The 24,785-nt window shown below is 43.8% G+C and overlaps 1 long non-coding RNA gene across 2 annotated transcripts, besides 2 other annotated features; it reads left to right on the forward strand.

Moving 5' to 3' along the window:
- Positions 1,232-1,743: an enhancer, noted in NCBI's record as "H3K4me1 hESC enhancer chr12:104768893-104769404 (GRCh37/hg19 assembly coordinates)". NCBI's record gives its function as "activates a minimal SCP1, AML or CMV promoter by ChIP-STARR-seq in naive H9 embryonic stem cells {active_cell/tissue: H9 hESC(naive)}" and the evidence as "EXISTENCE:reporter gene assay evidence [ECO:0000049][PMID:30033119]".
- LOC105369949 (uncharacterized) lies at positions 3,236-24,716 on the forward strand. Of its 2 annotated transcripts, XR_007063432.1 has the most exons (4): positions 3,236-3,860; positions 7,903-8,069; positions 13,893-14,101; positions 24,296-24,716. It is a non-coding gene; the product is annotated as an uncharacterized LOC105369949 (long non-coding RNA). The 2 variants fall into 2 exon arrangements; XR_007063433.1 differs by lacking the exon at positions 3,236-3,860 and having other exon boundaries at positions 7,439-8,069; positions 13,893-23,774.
- Positions 10,534-10,734: a silencer, noted in NCBI's record as "peak1927 fragment used in MPRA reporter construct". NCBI's record gives its function as "represses an SCP1 promoter by STARR-seq MPRAs in K562 erythroleukemia cells {active_cell/tissue: K562}" and the evidence as "EXISTENCE:reporter gene assay evidence [ECO:0000049][PMID:32103011]".
- Positions 24,717-24,785: the final 69 nt, after the last annotated feature.

The following is a 24,785-nucleotide window of genomic DNA, read 5'->3' on the forward strand; positions in this document are numbered from 1 at the left end:
CCTCAGTGTATACTTTCTCAGCTGCAAATGCTACCATTTTAAACTCAGAGGATTTTAAAAAATATATTTGAGCCTCACACAGGAAGACCCAAAAATTATTAAAATATAGAACATTTAGACTGTGGGGCAGAGACTGCATCTGTTCTGTTCACTTACCCCTAGGTCCTAACATACATAGTAGGTACCCAATAAACATAAGCTTAGCAAATGACTGAAAATTAATTTAAGCAGCTCATATGTGAAAAGAGCATATACACAAAGATGTTCATTGCAGCATTGTTTATAATGGTAGAAAATTATTTTGTACAATCTGGTTAAGAAATCTGTGGTATATGAATGCAATGAAATGGCATGCTATTATTAGAATTAACAAGAGGACTATCAAACCAGGAGAACAGGTTTACGGGATGTTGCTAAATGAAATTTAATAATACTGTGATTTAAAGAATGTAAACGTGTATATCTACATAGATGAAGATTGAAAGGCCCATTTAGAGATAAAGTCATTGCTGTGTAAAATTAGCAGCAATTAAGAAACACCTTTGGTAATGTTTTACAGTGGATTCTAGAATATGTTTTAAACTCTTTTAAAGAAACCCCTGCAGTATTTTCTAAACAGATGAGATGGTGGTTTGCTATTTTCCAGAGTCCATTGAGTGAGCTGTGAAAGGCCCCATTGGATAGGGGGCTTCTGGAAATTTCCATCTCCCCACCTCCTGGTGGGTAGCAACTCAGAGCTGGCAAAATTATTCTTGGCAAAGGCAATCTCATGTCAGAAAGAGTTCTCAGTGCAAAGAGCCTTTAGCAACAGAGGTGCTAGAATCTGTGTCGGTGAAGCTTTGCAAACAGCAGGGATTCCACAGAGGCCTTTTCAGGCCTTTATTTCCCACTCTGTACCTTCTCCTCCTTCTTTTTTTTTTTTTTTCCCAAGTTTTGTAAACATCCCAGGGATGATTTTTGTACTCCCCCAGGTCTGTGGGAGTCGGATGAGATGGAAAGAGGCCTCGCATTGTCCCTGCAGACCTGTATCCCTTCCGGCCACCCCTGCTGCCCTCACACTCCCCTCCCACCACAGCACCCACCTGTGGTCTGACAGAGGACACCACACCTTTGCCCATTCTCACACCCCCTCCCGCTGGACAGCCCCTGTCCTTAATGAGGCAGCTTGATGTTTTGTGGGACCTGCTGGTGTCCTGCCCAGGGAGGGGTGTGAGGGGTGGTGGGCTGGCCTGCTCCTGGAACTGTAGCATCAAACTGTTCAGGCTTTCATTTGCAACAGCCACACACTGGGACACCAAAATAGGTCCCGGCGGAGATGTGGGTGGGGCTGGCCTGGGCTTGGCCCCACCCAAGTAGGGCGCCAGGGAGACAGAGTGCCCCAGCACCACCAAGGTGGGCAGAAGCCATGTGGGGCCACTGAGAGAAATTCCACTGAGGTTCCTGTTGGGCCTTCCTTCCACCCAAAGTTTTGGACCTTCTGCTTGAGTGAATTATAGTGGGAATTCTGGGCTTTGGCTTTGGGGGCTGCCAGATGAGAAGGGTCTTAGTGTTCAACTGGTCCCACCTGGCACTGCGGGAAAAGCAGAAGCTGTCACCTCCCAGCTCTGCCATTTACTAGCGCAAGTTGTTGAAGGCCATCGATTCAACGCCATTTAGGTGTGTGCTAAGCGTTACATACACCTTATCCTTTGTCATCTCCACAGCTCTGGCATGGGTGTACTCTTCAGAGATGACAAAACTGAGGCCCAGAAAGGGTGAGTCACTGGCCCAGGGTCACCCAGCTTATCGTAGGTGAAGCTAGGATTTAAACCCAGATCTAATTTTCCTCCCAAGCAGGTGACTTAATCTTTCTCCTGAGCTACCTTCTCGTGTCTTCCCGAAGCCAATTTCCCTTGCAAAGCAGCAGAGCAACTTGACATTGGTGCACATGTTCCCCTCCAGAAATCCCGCCTGCAAAAACTCTGAAAATGGAAAGTTTATTCATGGGAAAACTTGCCCTGAGCTGCCACAAGGCTCATTGTGGTCTTGATTTATCTCACTTATTGTGGACGTTCACATGATTTCCTGAAGAAATATGAATGAGTTAGACTGTGGATCTGTTAGACGTTGCTGGGAATCTGACAGGGTATGCAGAAATCACACTGTGTTTCTCTAGGAAATCCTGAATTCTCAAACACATCAGGTCCCAAGGGATTCAGACAAGGGCTGTGGATCTGTATAAAATGGTCCACTAATGCTCACGGCAGGTGGGGGGCTGCTCATACATTCCTCATAGAAAATCTTTCTGTAAGGCAATAACTATCAGCAGTGGTTAGCATGCACCCGCTCTTTGACTCAGCAATTCCTCTTCTAGGAATTTTTCCTAAGGATTTGAGGATAAGAATATTCATTACAGCAGAAATCTGGTACCGCCCTAAAATCTCAAAGCAGGGAAATAGTTAAGTAAAGGGTAATATACCTTCCTTAGATGGAACATTATGTAACCATTAAAAAGGGTGCTTAAGGCTGACGTGGTGGCTCACGCCTATAATCCTAGTGCTTTGGGAGGCCAAGGTGGGAAGATTGCTTGAGCCTAGGAGTGCAAGGATTCAGTGAGCTGTGAGTGCACCACTGCGCCCCTGCCTGGATGGGAGAACAAGACCCTGTCTCAGAAAAAAATAAAAAAGGTGCTTAATGTGTAAGTTTAGTAATCTGGAAAAAGTATTCATTATAGCTAGTAAGTGCTGGGGGGTGGGGGAAGACACAAAGTTACCAAATAGCATGTACTATGTGACCCAATTTTTGTTAAAAGGGAAAAAAATAAAATGACAACAAAGAACACTGTGACACTGTGAATCCGCTTCCACTGCTGAAAACAGGTCTCGGTTTTGCAGGTCTCTCTTCCACAAAAGGCAGGACCGGGCTAAGAACAGTAGCTGGCTGCACTGCTATTGCTCTGCCCTGTAAAGGATACCTTCAGTCCTTATGTGACTCAAAGCTGGCCTGTCCCCATCGCTGCCCCTCTGCGAGGGCAGGGGCGGGAAGGAGGCCTAGATTGCCACAGCAGTGCTACAATGGATTTTAGTTACGGCCCCTTCCATAGCCTGATTTGGGGTCATTTAGGGATATTCATCCACTTATTTAACAAACATGTGTCTTATTTACCAGACACTGTGTTAAATGCCAAGGAGGCAGAGATGAGTAAGACAGGAGGTGGCTAGTTATAAATTCCTCGGCTGTGTCTTATTCATCTCTGCTTGCCTTATTTAGGGTAGTACCAGGCACCTCCTAGGTAGGGGTTCCCTAAACAAATGATGAATGAACAGGGTCCCTGTCCTTCGAAAACTCACGGGCTAGGAAAGGGAAACTGATGAGCAAGTTTGTTATAGCGTTGGTAGTGGCATGTCCCGGAGGGACACACAGGAAGGATAATCCATTCCAGAGGGCAGGGTGAGGGGAAGAGTGGAGTGAATTCAGCCTTCATTGCTTTCACAAGCACTCTCTTCTGGACGGACGCTCCCATTAAGTCTAACAACCAGGCTATTTAGCGCCTCAGAGCCGAGAGAATATGTGCAATGCCATTGAGGAGCCAGGACACAGGGCTCTTGTGTTAGGTTCCTAATGACGGTGATAAAGAAGACGATTTAGGCATCTGACTATTGCATCCAGTATGTTCTCTTTCCCTTTGCTATCTCTCAAGTCGAGGCGGCGAATGGGGAGAGGACCCCTGGGGGATTCCCAGGTGCAGCCATTTTGTGTATGGCCATTCTGCTTCCTGGTTCATGACCCAACAGGAAGGACACAGCTGGGAGGGTCTTGATCAAGGGCAGGACCAGAGATGAGGCAGATCTGGGCACTGATAGATGACGATAATTAAAAAGGTATGTAGGTCGGGCACAGTGGTTCATGCCTGTCATTCCAGGACTGTGGGAGGCTGAGGAGTGAGGATTGCTTGAGCCAAGGAGTTCAAGACCAGCATGGGCAACATAGTGAGACCCCCATCTCTAAAAAGAAAAAAAATACAATAATTAGCTGGGCATGTTAGTACACATCTGTAGTCCTGGCTACTTGGGAAGCTGAGGTGTGAGGATTGTTTGAAACCAGGAGGTTGAGGTTGCAGTGAGTGGAGATTGTGCCACTGCACTCCAGCCTTAGTGACAGAGAGAGACCCTATCAAAAAAAACAAAAACAAAAATAAAAACAAAGAAAACAAAATTGACTCATTAAAATTAATCATTTAACAAATAGTTACAAAGTACCTACCCTGTGCTAGAAGCTCAGTCCTGGTTCCTCAACAATGAACAGAAGCATCCACCCTCCTGGGGTGGCCTCTCCAGTGAGAGCCCCGGGCCTCCTCAAGTGAGAATTCAATGGAAAGTGTAGTTTTAGGCCGGGATCCCTGAGGACCCCAGGCACTGGGGAGTCTGTCTAAGGGAAAATGAGTAGGGGACCCAGAAAGGGGAAGGCCAGGGGCAGCCTGCGGCCCCCCTGTGTCATCTTCCTCACCCTGAAAAGTTCCCTCTTGACCCTTTGGAGGTAGCCAGAGACTGCTGTCTATCCACCATCCAGAAAATCCAGCCACCTACAGCTTCTGTAACCACCATGCGATTACTTCCAATCTCTCAAATGGGGTTTGCGGGCTCCCCTCCTTTCATAATTGTAGCTAACATCATCGAGCACTTTCTATATGCCCAGCACTATTCTAAGTGGGTCACATGCAGTAACTCATGTTCAATTCTCACAATATCCCCATGAGATCAGTCCTGTGTCATTCTTATCATACCCATTTTTCAGATGAGAACACTGAGGTACAGAAAGTAGAAATAGCTTGTTCAAGGTCTTACAGCTGATAATCTGTGGAGTTAGGACTTGAAGCCAGACAGACCGAACTCAGCACTCATTCTCCTCCCCTCTAGACTCTGATGCCTTTGAGAAGGCTATAATACAAGACACACAGGGTCCTGTCCCTATGGATTACAGTCCAATGGGGACAACAGAGAGTAAACCATAGTGATACCAATCTGATGAGTCTTGTATGGAAGGACCAACTGGTCCTGGCTTGCAGAGACTTTCTGGCTTTAGCACAGAAAACCTCAAATTCTGGGAACCTCAGTCCTTGGCAAACTAGATGGTTGTACTAACCTAGTTGTGTGAAAAGGGAATCATGAAGTACTATTATTTCTTTGCCTGATTTTGAAATTTACTAATTTGACAGGTGTCACATGGGATTTCACTGCTGTTTTTACATTGCCTTTCTTTTGATCACCACGGAGGCTGAACAATGTTCTCGATGCTTTTTAACCAGATTTAGTTTGTAGTTTGTGAATCAGTTTCTCCTAGAATTCGTCTGCTGAGGCAGAGGTTCTCAGCCTTGAGTGGGCATCAGAATCAGAGGAGGGCTTCTGAAAAAGCAGATCTCTGGGTCGTATCCTCAGAGTTTCTCATTCAGTAGGTCTGGGGTGGGGTCTGGGGTTGGGCATTTCTTTCTTTCTTTCTTTCTTTTTTTTTTGAGACATAGTCTCACTCTTTTACCCAGGCTGGAGTGCAGTGATGTGATCTCGGCTCACTGCAATTTCCACCTCCTGGGTCCAAGTGATTCTCTCACCTCAGCCTCCCAAGCAGCTGGGATTACAGGCACATGCCACCATGCCCAGCTAATTTTTGTATTTTTAGTAGAGACAGGGCTTCACCAAGTTGACCAGGCTGGTCTTGAACTCCTGAAATCAGGTGATCCTCCCACCTCAGCTTCCCAAAGTGCTGGGGTTACAGGCGTGAACCAACGCGCCCGGCCTGGGGCTGGGCATTTCTAACAAGCTCCCAGGTGACACTGAGGCTGCCAACTGGTCAGGAACCAAACCTGGAGATGCGCTGTATTTGGGTGTTTTTTGGAAGCTCTCCCTTTAGTAAAGTGGTTCTCACATTTGCTAAATGTGCACCTTAGAATCACCTGGGCAGTGTTACAAAATTCAGATGCTCAGGCCCTACCCTGGACCAGAGGAAGCCAGTCATGGGGAGTGGAACTTGGGCTTTGCTAGTTCATTACAAAATTTCTCAAGTGATTTCCTCATCTCTGTAGTGTTAAAATAAATTAAGATGAAGACCAGTGTGAAGAATCCCTGAGCAGACAAAGCCCGTTATGCTTCATAAGTGACCTTAATCTTCTTGATTTGCAAACATAAGCAAAACTGTATGCCTTTTTCTTTTTTCTAGCCTGACTTCACTAGCTATAACTTCTGGCACTATGCTGAATAAGGGTGGACCTCCTGGCTGGGCGTGGTGGCTCACGCCTGTAATCCCAGCACTTTGGGAGGCAGAGGCAGGTGGATCACAAGGTCAGGAAATCGAGACCATCCTGGCTAAAACGGTGAAATCCCGTCTCTACTAAAAATACAAAAAAAAAAAAAAATTAGCCGGGCGTGGTGGCGGGCGCCTGTAGTCCCAGCTACTCGGGAGGCTGAGGCAGGAGAACGGTGTGAACCCGGGAGGTGGAGCTTGCAGTGAGCCGAGATCATGCCACTGCACTCCAGCCTGGGTGACAGAGTGAGACTCTGTCTCAAAAAAAAAAAAAAAAAAAAAAAGAATGGACCTCCTGGCCTTGTCACTAATTTTGTGGGGGAAAGCATTTAGTCTTTCAAGCATTAAGTGTGTTAGCTATAGTTTTGTAAGTTTTTTTTTTTACAAATGGGTGCTGAATTTTGTCAAATGCTTTTTCTGCATTAATTTATATGATCATATTATTTCTCTTCTTTCACCTGTTAATATGGTGGATTGCATTGATTGATTTTCAAATATTCAACTACCCTTTCATCTGTGGAATAAACTCCAGTTGGTCATCCTGTACAATCCTTGAGATATATTGCTGAATTCTATTTGCTAATATTTTGTTAAGGATTTTCATGTATATATTCATGAGGGATATTGATCTGTAGGTTTTTTTTACTACCTTGGTTTTATTTATTTGTTTGTTTGTTTTTGAGACAGAGTCTCTCTCTGTTGCTCAGGCTGGAGTTCAGTGGCGCGATCTTGGCTCAGTGTAACCTCTGCCTCCCAGGTTCAAGTGATGCTTCTGCCTCAGCCTCCTGAGTAACTGGGATTACAGGCATGTGCCGCCATGCCTGGCTAATTTTTGTATTTTTAGTAGAGACAGGATTTCGGCATCTTGGCCAGGCTGGTCTCGAACTGCTGACCTCAAGTGATCCGCCCACCTCGGCCTCCCAAAGTGCTGGAATTACAGGTGTGAGCCACCGTGCCCAGCCAGCAGCCTCAACCTCTTAAGCTCAAGCAGTCCTCTGGCCTCAGCTTCCCGAGTAGCTGGGACTACAGGCACATGCTACCATGCCTGGTTAATTTTTGTAATTTTTATAGAGACAGTGTCTCACTTTGTTGCCCAGGCTGGTCTTGAACCCCTGGGCTCAAGTCATCCTCCCACTTTGACCTCCCAAAATGCTAGGATTACAGATGTGAGCCACTGTACTCATTCCTATCTGTGGTTTTAATATCAGGGAAATACTATCTTCATAAAATGAATTGGAAAGTGTTCCCTCCTCTTCTATTTTCTGAAAGAGAATGTAGAGAGATGGTGTGAATTCCTCTTTAAACATTTGGTAGAATTCTTCAGTGAAACCATCTGGATCTGGAGACTTCTTTTTTGGGAGTTTTAAAATTGCAAATTCGATTTCCTTAACAGTTGTAGGCATACTCAAATTATCTAGTTCACATTGGGTGAGTTGTAGTCATTTGTATTTTTCAAGGAATCGGTCCTTTTTAACTAAGTTGTCAAATGAATGTGTGTTCTCACTAGCTTTAAAAAATTCTCTTCCCTCCATTAGTTTCTCTCACATTGAAATGAGATGCTGATTCCTCCACATGCCTTCCCTCCCTCCAGATCAATGACAAAACGCATTCTCCTGTGCCCTAATCCAGGACAGCATTCTTGACAGGCAGAGCCCAGGATGGGGCAGTCCCGATGTAAACCCACAGTTTCGAGGAACCAGTTGGCCTTGGACCTCTCTGAAGAGCTCTGGAACCAGAAGGGGCTGGCGGTCCTCTAAGTCACCTTAGCCTACCTGGAGAGACCTCCGAGGCGGGAGGTAGGAGCTCCGTCCTTAAGGGCAGGTTTGAGAAGTCAAAAACGCTGGGGGCCCTGGGTACCACTAGGTGGCGCTCAAAACATACAGTTGCTCTTGGAGGCCAACAGTGGACCGAAGAACCTCTGTTTAGCTAGATTTGGTCTGTGGGGCATTTGTTCTTTAAGTGAGATGCACTTTAGAGTCTAGAAGCTGCAAGGACCCCACGAGCTCTGGGTTGGTGGACTTGGTAATACTTTCTCTGACTTCCCTACTGACAAAGGAGGGAAGGCTTGAGAGGTGGTGCTGGTTGGAGGCTCCTGCGAGATGTCAGAAGCACCTACCTCCGTGTGGGCTGCTGAGACAAGCATGCCCACGCGGAGCCTCTGTGTGGTTATGAAGTGTCAACACCCCGGCCAGGCCTGTAAAGAATCTTAAAGAATCTACCCTGGGCTCCACGTCCCTTCCAGGCTGGCTCAATGCCCACACCCCTTCCAGATCCTGCCCCCTGCAGATACTTTGATCTACCCCACCACGTTAAGTATACTTTAGGGAAAGAGTCCTCTGGAGTCAGTTGGGAGGCTCAAGGTTTTGTCCTGCCTCTGCCGCTAGCAGTGTGCCTTGGGCAAGACTTGTACACATCTTTGCTAGATTCTGGACTGAGTCCAAATCCTGTCTTGACCACCCACAGCTATGGTGCCCTCTTAGGAATGTTACTTAATGTTACTTAACCTTCGTGAGCCTCAGGTTCACAACTGTCATCTGGAGATAATAAAGACACTCATCTCATCTCATAGTGTAGTGAAGTTTTATTTTTTATTTTTTTAGAGACAGGATCTTGCTCTGTTGTCCAGGCTGGAGTGCAGTGATACGATCATAGCTCACTGTAACCTTCAACTTTTGGGCTCAGGTGATCCTCCCACCTTGGCCTCCCAAAGCACTGAGATTACGGGCAGGGAGCCACCATGCCAGCCCCAGCATCGAGTAAGTGCTTGATGGACATTGGCAGTTATTATTTTATCACATTTATTTATTTATTTATTTTGAGATGGAATCGCATTCTGTCACCCAGGCTGGAGTGCAGTGGCACGATCTTGGCTCACTGCAACCTCGGCCTCCCAGGTTCAGGTGATTCTTCTGCCTCAGCCTCCTGAGTAGCTGGGACTACAGGTGCACACCACCATGTCCAGCTAATTTTTATATTTTTAATAGAGATGGGGTTTCACCATATTGGCCAGGCTGGTCTCAAACTACTGACCTTGTGATCCACCCGCCTTGGCCTCCCAAAGTGCTGGGATTACAGGCGTGAGCCATCACGCCCGGCCATTATTATTATTATTATTGTTTTTGAGACATAGTCTCACTCTGTTACCCAGGCTGGAGTGCAGTGGCATGATCACAGTGCACTGCAACATCTGCCTCTGGGGCTCAAGTGATCCTCTCACCTCATCTTCCTAAGTAGCTGGGATTATAGGTGTGCACTGCCACATCTGGCTAATTTTTTTTGGAGGGGGGTGTTTTTAGTAGAGACAGGGTTTCACCATGTTGCCTAGGCTGGGTCTTAAACTCCTAAGCTCAGGTGATCCCGCCACCTCAGCCTCCCAAAGTGCTGGGATTACAGACGTGAGCCACCATGCCCTGCCATTCCTATTGTCACTAATTTTTGTACCTCTCCCATCCCAGCCCTAGCATAGGTTTACTTGTTTTCAATTGCTGCTCTAACACATTACTACTAATAGAATGGCTAAAAACAGCACAAATTTATTCTCTTACAGTTCTAGAGGTCAGAAGTCTATAACCAAGATGTTGGCAGAGCTGTGTTCTCTCCGGAGACCTCAGGGGAAAATCCATTCCCTTGCTTTACCCAGCTTCCAGAGGCCATCCACGTTGCTGGCCTTGTGACCCCTTCTTACATCTCTCCAACCTCTTTCTTCTGTCACCCCATCTTCTGCTACTAATTTGATCCTCTTGCATCCTTTTAAGGATTTGTACCTTGGACCCATACAGATAATCCAGGATAGTTTTCTCATCTCAAGATCCTTAATAACCTGTCTGCAAATTTTCTTTTACCATGGGCAGTAACATATTCGCAGGTTTCAAAGATTAGGATATGGATGTCTTTGGGGGCCATTATTCAGTGTAGCACTCTGCGAAAACAGATTCAGTTCAAAATAAATAAGGATTGGGAAAGGGCTTCATGTGGTTTTATCTTTATATCCCCAGTGCTATGATTTGAATGTTTGTGTTTCCTCAAAATTCATATGCTGAAAACTTAACCCCCAAGGTGATGGTATGAGGAGGTGGGGCCTTTGGGAGGTGATTAGGTTTAGACGAGGTCATGAGGATTGGGCTGTTATGATGGGATTGGTGCCCTTATAAAAACAGCCACAGAGAGACCTTTGCCCCTTCCACCACGTGAGGACACAGTGAGAAGGCACCGTCTAGGAGCCAGGAAGTAGGCTCTTACCAGACACTGAATCTGTTGGCATCTTGATCTTGGACATCCAGCCTCCAGAACTGGGAGAAATAAATTTCTGTTGTGTATAAGCCACCTCGTCTGTGGTATTTTGTTATAGCAGCCTGAATGGATTAAAACACCCAGAGTCTAGCACATTGCCTGTTTGGCCTGGAAGGTACTTACTTACTGAATGAGTGAGTATGGTGAACATTACTGGTGCTCATCAATACCCAGCTCTCCTCTCCTTCTTTGGGTGGGGGCACATGACTAATGACTAGCTTTGGCCAATGAAAGTGAGCACAAGTGAGGTGTGTTACTTCCAGGCTGAGTCAGTGGAAGCCTCCATGTGACACTTCAGCCTCTGTCCTTCCCTGCCATGATAAATGTAGAGGCCTTCTCTCGAGATGGACTGAAGCAGCCTGGATTGTGTGTCACTGCATGGAGAACAGGCACCCTGGATTGTTACCCGCACCTACCTGCTTATATAACCAAGAAACAAACTTAGGAAATTTGGGGAATGCTTGTCACTGTAGCATAGCCTATCTGAATCTATCCAATGCAATGAGTTAATGGAACTGCCCAATCTTTAAGGTCCAAATCAAAACTATGTTATAGGTAGAAGAATCAGCCACACAACATACCTAACTAGTGGTCTTTGGCATGCCCAGGTGGGTGGGTAGTTCCCTCTGCTTCCATGTTTTGCCCAGTATCTAATACTGTATAGCCTCTCTGCTTTGGTTTCCTCATCTGTAAAATCAGGAAAATAATAGTACCTACTTGAGACAACTGTTGAGAGATTATATGATTTAATGCATATAAAGCATTTTAAACAGTGCCTGACATGTGGTTTGGTTGTTGTTGTTGTTGTTGTTTGTTTGTCTTTTTGAGGTGGAGTTTTTGCCCTTGTTGCCCAGACTGAAGTGCAATGGCTCACTGCAACCCCTGCCTCCCAGGTTCAAGTGATTCTCCTGCCTTAGCATCCTGAGTAGCTGGGATTACAGGCGCCTGCCACCAAGCCCGGCTAATTTTGTATTTTTAGTAGAGACAGGGTTTCACCATGTTAGCCAGGCTGGTCTCGAACTCCTGACCTCAGGTGATCTGCCCGCCTCGGCCTCCCAAAGTGCTGGGATTACAGGCATCAGCCACCATGCCCAGCCATGGTAAGTCTTAATATATGTTTGTTATTGTCATCACCACCATCATCACCACTCCCATCACCACTCCCATCACCACCACCACCACCACCATCAACATCACCGTCACCACCCCCATCACCACCACCATCACCACCACCATCACCACCACCATCATCACCACCAACATCACCATCACCACCACCATCATCACCATCATCATCACCATTGTTATCAGGAGGAGGAGCAGGAGAAGGAAGAAATGTTACTTGCACTTCCAGTGTGCAAAGGAGAGAATAAATTTGATCAAATTCAGTAAAGATAAATGCTAGTAATAGCAATCTCACCTTGTCAACTTTAACAAATGAAGCCAATAGAAATTAATTTTAAGGCTAGGCTTGGGGGTTCACGCCCATAATCCCAGCACTTTGGGAGGCCAAGGTGGAAGGATTGCTTCATCCCAAAAGTTTGAGGCCAACCTGGGCAACATAACAAGACCCTGTCTCTACAAAAAAAAAAAAAAAAAGTCAGGTGTGGTGGCCTGTGCCTGTAGTCTCAGCTACTTGGGAGGCTGAGGTGGGAGGATAACTTCCCAGGAGGTCAAGGCTGCAGCGAGCTGTTATCGTGCCACTGCACTCCAAAGCAAGATCTTGTCTCAAAAACAGAAAGAAAGAAAAGAAAAGAAAAGAAATTCATTTAAAAAGTCTTACACATTGTCATGTTTGTTTCTTCCTCTGAGACCATCAAAGTTTCTCGTCCTCCTCCTCCTCCTCTAACTCCTTAATAGACTTATGACTAATTAGAAATCTTTCTTGGAAAAGTAAGAGAAGCTGGGAAGTGAGGAAGATAGCCTATAATGAGACTTTATAAATAAATTTCTACATAATCAATATAGTTCAATGATTTCCCAGAGACACTGGCTTCTCTGCCATGCTATCAGTCATAGTTTCAGCCAGTGAAAGCAAGGAGTGTGTTAGAAGCCCAGGTGGCAACTTTAGGACTCTCAGCTGCTTTGATGTAGTTGCTCACTGAAGCTGGACTGTCCATTTAAGAAATCATTCATTCATTCGCCACATATTTGTTGAGCACTGCTGAGGGCCAGGCACTGTTCTGGGCAGCTCTGGGGTGGGACTGGCGGGTATTAGGACACTCCCCACCCCCTTCTGATGATTGGTTCAGGAACAGACATGTGACCCATGCAGCTGAGGAACTGTTTGCTGGAGGTCCTGAGAAAGTTCCTTTCTTTTCCACAGGGCAAGAAAGAAAATGAAAATTATTTATGCAGTAGGTGTATAAAAGTGCCATATGCAAAAAATTTTCATCACAGCACGGCCTGCAACAGTGAATCACTGGAAGAAATCATAGAGTTTCGTTAAGCAAGCTGTGGTATCTCAATAAAAAGCAATGCCATGCTGTTATTTAAAATAACGCAATGACTATAAAACATGAAGAAATGTTTACATAAAGATACTAAGAGAAAAAATTATACACAAAACTATATAGATATGCTGTGAGGAATTAAAATGAGAAAGTCATAATTAACAAATGGAAGTAAGGTCTTTGTAAGACTGCTGGGATTATGAGTATTTAAAAACATCCTTTGAATTATTTTACAGTAGTCTCTATATTTTATTTCTTCTAAAGAACCCTCACAGTAATTTCTAAACAGGTGAATCAGTTGGTTGCCATTTCCTAGGGCCTCCTCAGTGAGCACATTACTCCGATTTTCCTGGAAGTCACTCTACAGTCGTGAGGGTTCCAGCCTTCTGATGAAGCCAACGCTGAGTGTGGCAGAGAGGAGGGACGGAAAGGGACAAGCTCCCTCAGGATCTCAGCGAGCTGCTTGACCACGCTGCTGGACTCTTCCTGGGTAGCTGGCAAACTGCCAAATTATTTCATCTGGCTGGGGTTGGACTTGTGATTGAGGCAGACAGCATTGTAACCTAAACCCTCCCCATAGCTGCGTTCACTTCTTTCATCACATGTTAACACCCCTACAAAATCAATGTATTACCTTGCAAAAGTTGTTGAAAAAGAGCCACTTTTGGAGAAGGTGTTCTGTGGAAGCAACCATTCCTTATGCTCTTTGTCACTAAGCTCTCCAGGGCACTGTACTGCTGCCAGATTTGAGAACCACTGCTCAGGTGCAACTCTATTTCAGAGTGTGCCCAGGAATCACAGGCAAGGCAGCCCAGCGCAGATAAAGAGAAGTTGATTGAAGGGAATCAACATCATGTGTGTTTCTTATTCCTACAGATGCATAATCAAATATATAAGTAAAAATTGACATTTCCTTTGAGAACTACTTGGACAGTGACCTGAACATCTCAAGAAAAACCTTGGTGGAATTGCATGAACCTGATTTGGGTCAAAATTAAGCACCACGCTGAAAATCATGCCTTTGTGAAATGACAAATTGAAAGTGTTCAGAAATTGCATTTGAACTAGTTGAGATCCTGATACAGGTTAGTGGTTCTTTACCTTACCATTTGATGAAGGGGTGACATTGATGATTCAAGCATTTTAGCAAGCTTTATTTGCTCTATCTGTAATGAAAATGTAATAATAGTAACATTTCATTGGTTCTAAGCTGCAATTCTACGGCCCCCCACCCCCTAACCCACATACATTTTTAGCAGCTGTGTAATTAGGATGGGTCTTAAGATCAGTGTCTTACAGTCATTGACACAAGGTCATAACATGGTTGTCATTGCCGACACCTTCTGGTGAGATCCAGAAAGACCCGGGAACAAAATTTGCAGAATGAGTGAGTGTCAGCAGCCTGGGAGAAACCTCTGAGACCTCACCATAGCATCTTTGTAAGAACTGCTTCCTCATCAACGCTCTTGATGGCAAAGGGTGATTTTGTATTGAAAGATACACACAATGACAAGATTGAGCTGAAAATCACAAACAAGATTTAGACTCTCTGAAAAAGTTTGGGAATAACTTAACCAACCTTTTTCACTTGTTTTCCTATTTTGAGTGCCCAAGGGTGACACATGAGATGTCTAAATAAGTCTAAAAAATTACTTTCAATAAGTCTTTTTTAAAAATTATTATACTTTAAGTTTTAGGGTACATGTGCACAATGTGCAGGTTTGTTACATATGTATGCATGTGCCATGTTGGTGTGCTGCACCCATTAACTTGTCATTTACATTAGGTATATCTCCTAATGCTGTCCCTCCCCCCTACCCCCACCCCACAACAGGCCCCGGTGTGTGATGTTCCCCCTCCCGTGTCCATGTGTTCTCATTGTTCAGTTCCCACCTATGAGTGAGAACATGCAGTGTTTGGTTTTTTGTCCTTGCGATAGTTTGCTGAGAATGATGGTTTCCAGCTTCATCCATGTCCCTACAAAGGACATGAACTCATCATTTTTTATGACTCCATAGTATTCCATGGTGTATATGTGCCACATTTTCTTAATCCAGTCTATCATTGATGGACATTTGGGTTGGTTCCAAGTCTTTGCTATTGCAAATAGTGCTGTAATAAACATACGTGTGCATGTGTCTTTATAGCAGCATGTTTTATAATCCTTTGGGTATATACCCAGTAATGGGATGGCTGGGTCAAGTGGTATTTCTAGTTCTAGATCCCTGAGGAATCACCACACTGACCTCCACAATGGTTGAACTAGTTTACAGTCCCACCAACAGTGTAAAAGTGTTCCTATTTCTCCACATCCTCTCCAGCACCTGTTGTTTCCTGACTTTTTAATGATCGCCATTCTAACTGGTGTGAGATGGTATCTCACTGTGGTTTTGATTTGCATTTCTCTGCTGGCCAGTGATGATGAGCATTTTTTCATGTGTCTTTTGGCTGCATAAATGTCTTCTTTTGAGAAGTGTCTGTTCATATCCTTCGCCCACTTGTTGACGGGGTTGTTTTTTTCTTGTAAATTTTTTGGAGTTCATTGTAGATTCTGGCTATTAGCCCTTTGTCAGATGAGTAGATTGCAAAAATTTTCTCCCATTCTGTAGGTTGCCTGTTCACACTGATGGTAGTTTCTTTTGCTGTGCAGAAGCTCTTTAGTTTCATTAGATTCCATTTGTCAATTTTGGCTTTTGTTGCCATTGCTTTTGGTGTTTTAGACATGAAGTCCTTGCTCAAGCCTATGTCCTGAATGGTATTGCCTAGGTTTTCTTCTAGGGTTTTTATGGTTTTAGGTCTAACATTTAAGTCTTTAATCCATCTTGAATTAATTTTTGTATAAGGTGTTAAGGAAGGGGTCCAGTTTTAGCTTTCTACATATGGCTAGCCAGTTTTCCCAGCACCATTTATTAAATAGGGAATCCTTTCCCCATTTCTTGTTTTTGTCAGGTTTGTCAAAGATCAGATAGTTGTAGATATGCGGCATTATTTCTGAGGGCTCCATTCTGTTCCATTGGTCTATATATCTGTTTTGGTACCAGCACCATGCTGTTTTGGTTACTGTAGCCTTATAGTATAGTTTGAAGTCAGGTAGCATGATGCCTCCAGCTTTGTTCTTTTGGCTTAGGATTGACTTGGCAATGCGGGCTCTTTTTTGGTTCCATATGAACTTTAAAGTAGTTTTTTCCAATTCTGTGAAGAAAGTCATTGGTAGCTTGATGGGGATGGCACTGAATCTATAAATTACCTTGGGCAGTATGGCCATTTTCATGATATTGATTCTTCCTACCCATGAGCATGGAACGTTCTTCCATTTGTTTGTATCCTCTTTTATTTCATTGAGCAGTGGTTTGTAGTTCTCCTTGAAGAGGTCCTTCACGTCCCTTGTAAGTTGGATTCCTAGGTATTTTATTCTGTTTGAAGCAGTTGTGAATGGGAGTTCACTCATGATTTGGCTCTCTGTTTGTCTGTTATTGGTGTATAAGAATGCCTGTGATTTTTGCACATTGATTTTGTATCCTGAGACTTTGCTGAAGTTCCTATCAGCTTAAGGAGATTTTGGGCTGAGACGATGGGGTTTTCTAGATATACAATCATGTCATCTGCAAACAGGGACAATTTGACTTCCTCTTTTCCTAATTGAATACCCTTTATTTCCTTCTCCTGCCTGATTGCCCTGGCCAGAACTTCCAACACTATGTTGAATAGGAGTGGTGAGAGAGGGCATCCCTGTCTTGTGCCAGTTTTCAAAGGGAATGCTTCCAGTTTTTGCCCATTCGGTATGATATTGGCTGTGGGTTTGTCATAGATAGCTCCTATTATTTTGAGATATGTCCCATCAATAGCCAATTTATTGAGAGTTTTTAGCATGAAGCATTGTTGAATTTTGTCAAAGGCCTTTTCTGCATCTATTGAGATAATCATGTGGTTTTTGTCGTTGGTTCTGTTTATATGCTGGATTATGTTTATTGATTTGTGTATGTTGAACCAGCCTTGCATCCCAGGGATGAAGCCCACTTGATCATGGTGGATAAGCTTTTTGATGTGCTGCTGGATTCAGTTTGCCAGTATTTTACTGAGGATTTTTGCATCGATGTTCATCAGGGATATTGGTCTAAAATTCTCTTTTTTTTGTTGTGTCTCTGCCAGGCTTTGGTATCAGGATGATGCTGGCCTCATAAAATGAGTTAGGGAGGATTCCCTCTTTTTCTATTGATTGGAATAGTTTCAGAAGGAATGGTACCAGCTCCTCCTTGTACCTCTGGTAGAATTTGGCTGTGAATCCATCTGGTCCTGGACTTTTTTTGGTTGGTAAGCTATTAATTATTGCCTCAATTTCAGAGCCTGTTATTGGTCTATTCAGAGATTCAACTTCTTCCTGGTTTAGTCTTGGGAGGGTGTATGTGTCGAGGAATTTATCCATTTCTTCTAGATTTTCTGGTTTATTTGTGTAGAGGTGTTTATAGTATTCTCTGATGGTAGTTTGTATTTCTGTGGGATTGGTGGTGATATCCCCTTTATCATTTTTTATTGCGTCTATTTGATTCTTCTCTCTTTTCTTCTTTATTAGTCTTGCTAGCGGTCCATCAATTTTGTTGATCTTTTCAAAAAACCAGCTCCTGGATCCATTGATTTTTTGAATGGTTTTTTGTGTCTCTAGCTCTTCCATTTCTGCTCTGATCTTAGTTATTTCTTGCCTTCTGCTAGCTTTTGAATGTGTTTGCTCTTGCTTCTCTAGTTCTTTTAATTGTGATGTTAGGGTGTCAATTTTAGATCTTTCCTGCTTTCTCTTGTGGGCATTTAGTGCTATAAATTTCCCTCTACACACTGCTTTTAATGTGTCCCAGAGATTCTGGTATGTTGTGTCTTTGTTCTCTTTGGTTTCAAAGAACATCTTTATTTCTGCCTTCATTTTGTTATGTACACAGTAGTCATCCAGGAGCAGGTTGTTCAGTTTCCATGTAGTTGAGCAGTTTTGAGTGAGTTTCTTAATCCTGTGTTCTAGTTTGATTGCACTGTGGTCTGAGAGACAGTTTGTTATAATTTCTATTCTTTTACATTTGCTGAGGAGTGCTTTACTTCCAAATATGTGGTCAATTTTGGAATAGGTGTAGTGTGTGCTGAAAAGAATGTATATTCTGTTGATTTGGGGTGGAGAGTTCTGTAGATGTCTATTAGGTCTGCTTGGTGCAGAGCTGAGTTCAGTTCCTGGGTATCCTTGTTAACTTTCTGTCTCATTGATCTGTCTAATGTTGACAGTGGAGTGTTAAAGTCTCCCATTATTATTGTGTGGGGGTCTAAGACTCTTTGTAGGTCTCTAAGGACTTGCTTTATGAATCTGGGTGCTCCTGTATTGGGTGCATATATATTTAGGATAGATAGCTCTTCTTGTTGAATTGATCCCTTTACCATTATGTAATGGCCTTCTTTGTCTCTTTTGATCTTTGTTGGTTTAAAGTCTGTTTTATCAGAGACTAGGATTGCAACCCCTGCTTTTTTTGTTTTCCATTTCCTTGGTAGATCTTCCTCCATCCCTTTATTTTGAGCCTATGTGTGTCTCTGCACTTGAGATGGTTTTCCTGAATACAGCACACTGATGGGTCTTGACTCTTTATCCAGTTTGCCAGTCTGTGTCTTTTAATTGGAGCATTTAGCCCATTTACATTTACGGTTAATATTGTTAAGTGTGAATTTGATCCTGTCATTATGATGTTAGCTGGTTATTTTGCTCGTTAATTGATGCAGTTTCTTCCTAGCCTCTCTGGTCTTTACAATTTGGCATGTTTTTGCAGTGGCTGGTACCAGTTGTTCCTTTCCATGTTTAGTGCTTCCTTCAGGAGCTCTTTTAGGGCAGGCCTGGTGGTGACAAAATCTCTCAGCATTTGCTTGTCTGTAAAGGATTTTATTTCTCCTTCACTTATGAAGCTTAGTTTGGCTGGATATGAAATTCTGGGTTGAAAACTCTTTTCTTTAAGAATGTTGAATATTGGCCTCCACTCTCTTCTGGCTTGTAGAGTTTCTGCCAGGAGATCAGCTGTTAGCCTGATGGGCTTCCCTTTGTGGGTAACCTGACCTTTCTCTCTGGCTTCCCTTAACATTTTTTCCTTCATTTCAACTTTGGTGAATCTGACAATTATGTGTCTTGGAGTTGCTCTTCTCGAGGAGTATCTTTGTGGCATTCTCTGTATTTCCTGAATTTGAATGTTGGCCTGCCTTGCTAGATTGGGGAAGTTCTCCTGGATAATATCCTGCAGACTGTTTTCCAACTTGGTTCCATTCTCCCCGTCACTTTCAGGTACACCAATCAGATGTAGATTTGGTCTTTTCACATAGTCCCATATTTCTTGGAGGCTTTGTTCATTTCTTTTTATTCGTTTTCCTCTAAACTTCTCTTCTTGCTTCATTTCATTCGATTTTCCATCACTGATACCCTTTCTTCCAGTTGATCGAATCAGCTACTGAGGCTTGTGCATTCATCACATAGTTCTCGTGCCATGGTTTTCAGCTCCTTCAGGTCCTTTAAGGACTTCTCTGCATTGGTTATTCTAGTTAGCCATTTGTCTAATTTTTTTTCAAGGTTTTTAACTTCTTTGCCGTGGGTTTGAACTTCCTCCTTTAGCTCAGAGTAGTTTGATCGTCTGAAGCCTTCTTCTCTCAACTCGCCAAAGTCATTCTCCGTCCAGCTTTGTTCTGTTGCTGGTGAGGAGCTGTGTTCCTTTGGAAGAGGAGAGGTGCTCTGATTTTTAGTTTCCAGTTTTTCTGCTCTGTTTTTTCCCCATCTTTGGGGTTTAATCTACCTTTGGTCTTTGATGATGGTGACATACAGATGGGGTTTTGGTGTGGATGTCCTTTCTGTTTGTTAGTTTTCCTTCTAACAGTCAGGACTCTCAGCTGCAGGTCTGTTGGAGTTTGCTGGAGGTCCACTCCAGACCTTGTTAGCCTGGATATCAGCAGCAGAGGCTGCAGAACAGCGGATATTGGTGAACAGCAAATGCTACTGCCTGATCGTTCCTCTGGAAGTTTTGTCTCAGAGGAGTACCCAGCCGTGTGAGGTGTCAGTCTGCCCCTACTCGGGGGTGCCTCCCAGTTAGGCTACTCGGGGGTCAGGGACCCACTTGAGGAGGCAGTCCGTCCTTTCTCAGATCTCCAGCTGCGTCCTGGGAGAGCCACTACTGTCTTCCAAGCTGTCAGACAGGGACATTTAAGTCTGCAGAGGTTTCTGCTGCCTTTTGTTTGGCTATGCCCTGCCCCCAGAGGTGGAGTCTGCAGAGGCAGGCAGGCCTCCTTGAGCTGCGGTGGGCTCCACCCAGTTCGAGCTTCCCAGCTGCTTTGTTTACCTACTCAAGCCTCGGCAATAGCGAGCGCCCCTGCCCCAGCCTCGCTGACGCCTTGCAGTTTGATCTCAGACTGCTGTGCTAGCAGGGAGCAAGGCTCCGTGGGTGCAGGACCCTCCGAGCCAGGCACGGGATATAATCTCCTGGTGTGCCATTTGCTAAGACCATTGGAAAAGCGCAGTATTAGGGTGGGAGTGACCCAGTTTTCCAGGTGCCATCTGTCACCCCTTTCTTTGACTAGGAAAGGGAATTCCCTGACTCCTTGCACTTCCCAGGTGAGGGGATGCCTCACCCTGCTTTGTCTCATGCTGGGTGCCCTGCACCCACTGTCCTGCACCCACTTTCCGACACTCCCCAGTGAGATGAACCGGTACCTCAGTTGGAAATGCAGAAATCACCCGTCTTCTGTGTCGCTCACGCTGGGAGCTGTAGACTGGAGCTGTTCCTATTCAGCCATCTTGGCTCCACCCCCTCAATAAGTCTTAAAAATTTTGAGAGATCTAAGAAAGTATTATGTCATAATTTAATTAGTAGCGTCTTCTGTTTGCTTCCTCAGTGATATATAAAATAATGGTGCATGTTATAATTAACAACATATTGCATACAATGAAATACAGTAACAGTTCACACATATAGAACTTCTGATCTGCCATGGGTCAGTGCTCCATTCATGTTAACTCATTCAAGAGCCATTTTATAGATAAGGAAACTGAGGCACTTAGAAGATACAACCACACAGCCAGAGATTGGTAGAGCTAGATGGGATTCCAACCCAGGCAGTCAGCCCCAGGGTCTGTATGATAGCATCTCACTGAGAGAGGTGCTACTTTGCAATGTGTCAGATAATAACTGGTGAATTGTTGACCAGATTTGTATTTTAACAAGCATAACACTGATTAAGAAAAAAAAAAGTGCAAATATGTTGTGAAAACGAGGCCAATTGTGTGATTGGTAAAAAAGCAGCAGAAGAAACTTGCATCAACGCTATTTATCACCCCGAACATTCCAGAAGGTGCTGCTTCCTTTACGTATGGCCTCTCACACCAGAGTGTTTCTCATTGTGTTCCATGGAGTGTTGAAAAGAGTAGAAATAAAAGTAGTTTGGGTACTTATCTCTTCTCATAACTTATATTGAAATGGGGAGTGACTTTGATGACTTCTACACAGATGTTTGCAGCCTTTGTCAAGGGAAGAAGCAATCTCAGTTGTCGAGGACTGAATTCAGGCCTGAGTTATTTTTGTTTGCCAAGTTTTAAGTAGACATTAGGACAAAGGGTAAACCTGTGAATTTAGTGTTTGACCTAATAGGAAAGCCTAGCCCTCAATACTGTATTTAGCAGATTTTTTAAAAAGGCTGAATTAGTTCAAATTTTATTTTATTTTATTGCTTTTATTGTATTTTACAAGATTGATAGGATGACAATGAAATTTGAGATATCAATGGCTATAATTGATTATGGAGACTGAGTCTTTGGAGGCTTAATTCATTTTCAGGTGACAAAAGTTACAGCCTTGGTGATAAAATAGAACACAAAAAAAATCAGTCATCTTTGTTCATGGAAATAACTTTCATCTTAGTTCATGGAAATATCTTTTGAAAACTGTTTTCTAAGGAGGGGAAGAGAGAGAGAGAAAAAAAAAGAGAGAAAGAGCAACTGGGATCAGAGACTGCTAAATTCCACCATCTGATACCAGCTTCTTGCTGTCTAAGAGGATGTTTATGGAATTAATATGGTTTGGCTGTATCCCCACCCAAATCCATCTTATCTTGAATTGTAGCTCCCATAATCTCTATATGTTGTGGGAGGGACCCAGTGGGAGGTAATTGAATCATGGTGGCAGGTCTTTCCCATGCTATTCTCGTGATAGTGAATACATATCACGTGATCTGATGGTTTTATAAAGGGGAATTCCCCTGCACACTCTCTCTTGCCTGCCACCATATAAAACGTGCCTTTACTCCTCCTTCACCTTACACCATGATTGTGAGGCCTCCCTAGGAACGTGGAACTGAGTCCATTAAACCTCTTTTTCTTTATAAATAAGCCAGTCTTGGATATGTCTTTATTAGCAGTGTGAGAATGGTCTAATACAGAATGTCCATGGATAGGAGCCTCAAAGAGGTGCATGGTACTTCCTCCCTGACAGTACTTTCTCCCCTGAGACTTCCTTGCTGTCTGCCATCTGCCTTCTGCACCCAAATGTTTATGAGCATCTGAATTTTCCAGCTATCATGAAAAGAAATTGCCCTGAATCTGCTTGCAGTATGCACTCACTTCAATTCAGTACAAATTTTCCAGAATTTCTTGGTACTTTAGCATTGCATTCATTGACTGAAAAAAAAGGTAGAATTTTTTGAAAAAATGTGTAAGTAATTTAAAGCATTATTGTTGCATTAAATTCAATGCAGCTACATTACTGGGGAATATATGAAATCCAGGTGAATCTTAAAGTGAAAACTAAGATGAGCAGATACATTTCTAACTTCCTGGTCAGCTTCAGTCTAGACCTCCAAGCCCCCAGGGTTCAGTGATCATTTTTGCTGCCCCAAACGATACTGGTGTGGAAAAGTTTGAGGCGCTCTAGGTTACAAAGAGTCCCTTGAGCCTCTTGGCCATTGGTCATTAAGCAGAAAAATACACCCGGTTCCTTCTGTCCTTGGCTGCCTCCCATTGCTGTTTACCCATGACCATGGTCTGCCCATTGGCAGGCAGGGTCTTTTGGAGTTAAGGGCTTCCTTGGCAGAGTGTCCCCTGTAGTTTTAGACCAGGAGGTCCATGGAGTGTGGTTTTCAAGGCTAAGTCAGAGACCACCCCAGAATTTTGAGGCTGAAATGGAGCCTGTTCCTTTGGCCAATCTCACCTGGTTTTGGTATAGGAGGGGTTAGGAATGGGTAGTAGGTGGCTAGAGCTGTGATGGTCTCCATTTAGGAGCCTAGTGAAACCAACAGAGTCTATACTTATGTGTGTATAGATGATGGAATCTTTGACATTCTTTGAATAAGGTGTTCCCTTAGGTTTTTTTTTAAAAAAGAGAACATATTTCCATGTATTTTAACATTTATTCATTCCACAATATTTGTTTTGTGTGTGCTGCACTAGGCCTGGGGAATACAGCAGCAAACAAAACAGGTAAAAACCACTGCCCTCACAGAGCTTACATGCTAAGGTGGAGAGAGAGCAAATTTAAAAGACGATTAAATATCTGGAATGTCTGATGGTGATTGCTGCTATAAAGAAAAATGAGGGAAGAGGAGTGGGAATATGTGTGTCTGTGGGTGAGTTGCAATTTTAAGTAAGATGGTTAAATGCCACTGAACAGGTGACATTTGAGCAAACCATCAGCAAACTGATGCTGAGTCAATTGCTTTGAAGTTGCAGCCTGCTGGACTGCCTGAAGTATTGGATAGAGGATATGAGAGAAGGTGAGAAATTGAGGATGACTCCAATGCGGTAGGCAGTTTATGACACAGCTCACAGTTACCCCCACCTCCTGGTATTCATGCTCTTGTATAACTTTCTTCTTGAGTCTGTGATGGACCTAGTGACTTTTTTTTTTTGAGACAGAGTCTCACTCTGTTGCCCAGGCTGGAGTGCAGTGGCGTAATCTGGGCTCACTGCAATCTCCACCCTCTGAGTTCAAGCAATTCTTCTGCCTCAGCCTCCCGAGTAGCTGGGATTACAGGCGTGCGCCACCACGCCTGGCTAATTTTTTGTATTTTTAGTAGAGACAGGTTTCACCATCTTGGCCAGGCTGGTCTTGAACTCCTGACCTCATGATCCACCCACCTTGGCCTCCCAAAGTGCCGGGATTACAGGCGTGAGCCACCGCACCCTGCCCGCCCTTTTTTTTTTTTTTTTAATCATGAATAGATTACGGCAAAGTTGATGGGATCTCATTTCTGTGGATATATCACCAAGATTGTGACTTCTGTCTTGCTGGCAGATTCTCTCCATTGCTTTCTTGGCTTTAACACTTCAGTGAAGCAATCTGCCTTGTTGAGAGGCCCACATGGCAAGGAACTGAGGGCAGCCCCTGACCAACAGCCAGCCAGGAACTGAAGATGTCAGTCCAACTACCCCTGATGAACTGAATCTTGAACCACGTGAGCTTGGAGTGCATCCTTCCCAGTTGTGCCATGAGATGAGAGCACGGCACCAGTCAACAGTGTGACTGTTCTTTGAGAAAGACACCAAAGCAGAGGGGACAGCTAAGCCATATCCAGATTTTTCACCCACAAAACTGAGATAATACATGTGTGCTTTTTAAACTGTTAAATTTTGGGACAATTTGTTATGCCACAATATATAATTAATACACAAGGTTTTTGGCAACTGGAAGAATAAAAATAGTATTTATGATATCACAAGATGAGTGTAGGTAGAGGGTTTCTTTACAGGGAGATTTCAGGGTTTCTTTTTTTTTTTGGTGATGG

This window comes from Homo sapiens, chromosome 12 (genome assembly GCF_000001405.40).
Source record: "Homo sapiens chromosome 12, GRCh38.p14 Primary Assembly".
NCBI lineage: Eukaryota > Metazoa > Chordata > Mammalia > Primates > Hominidae > Homo > Homo sapiens.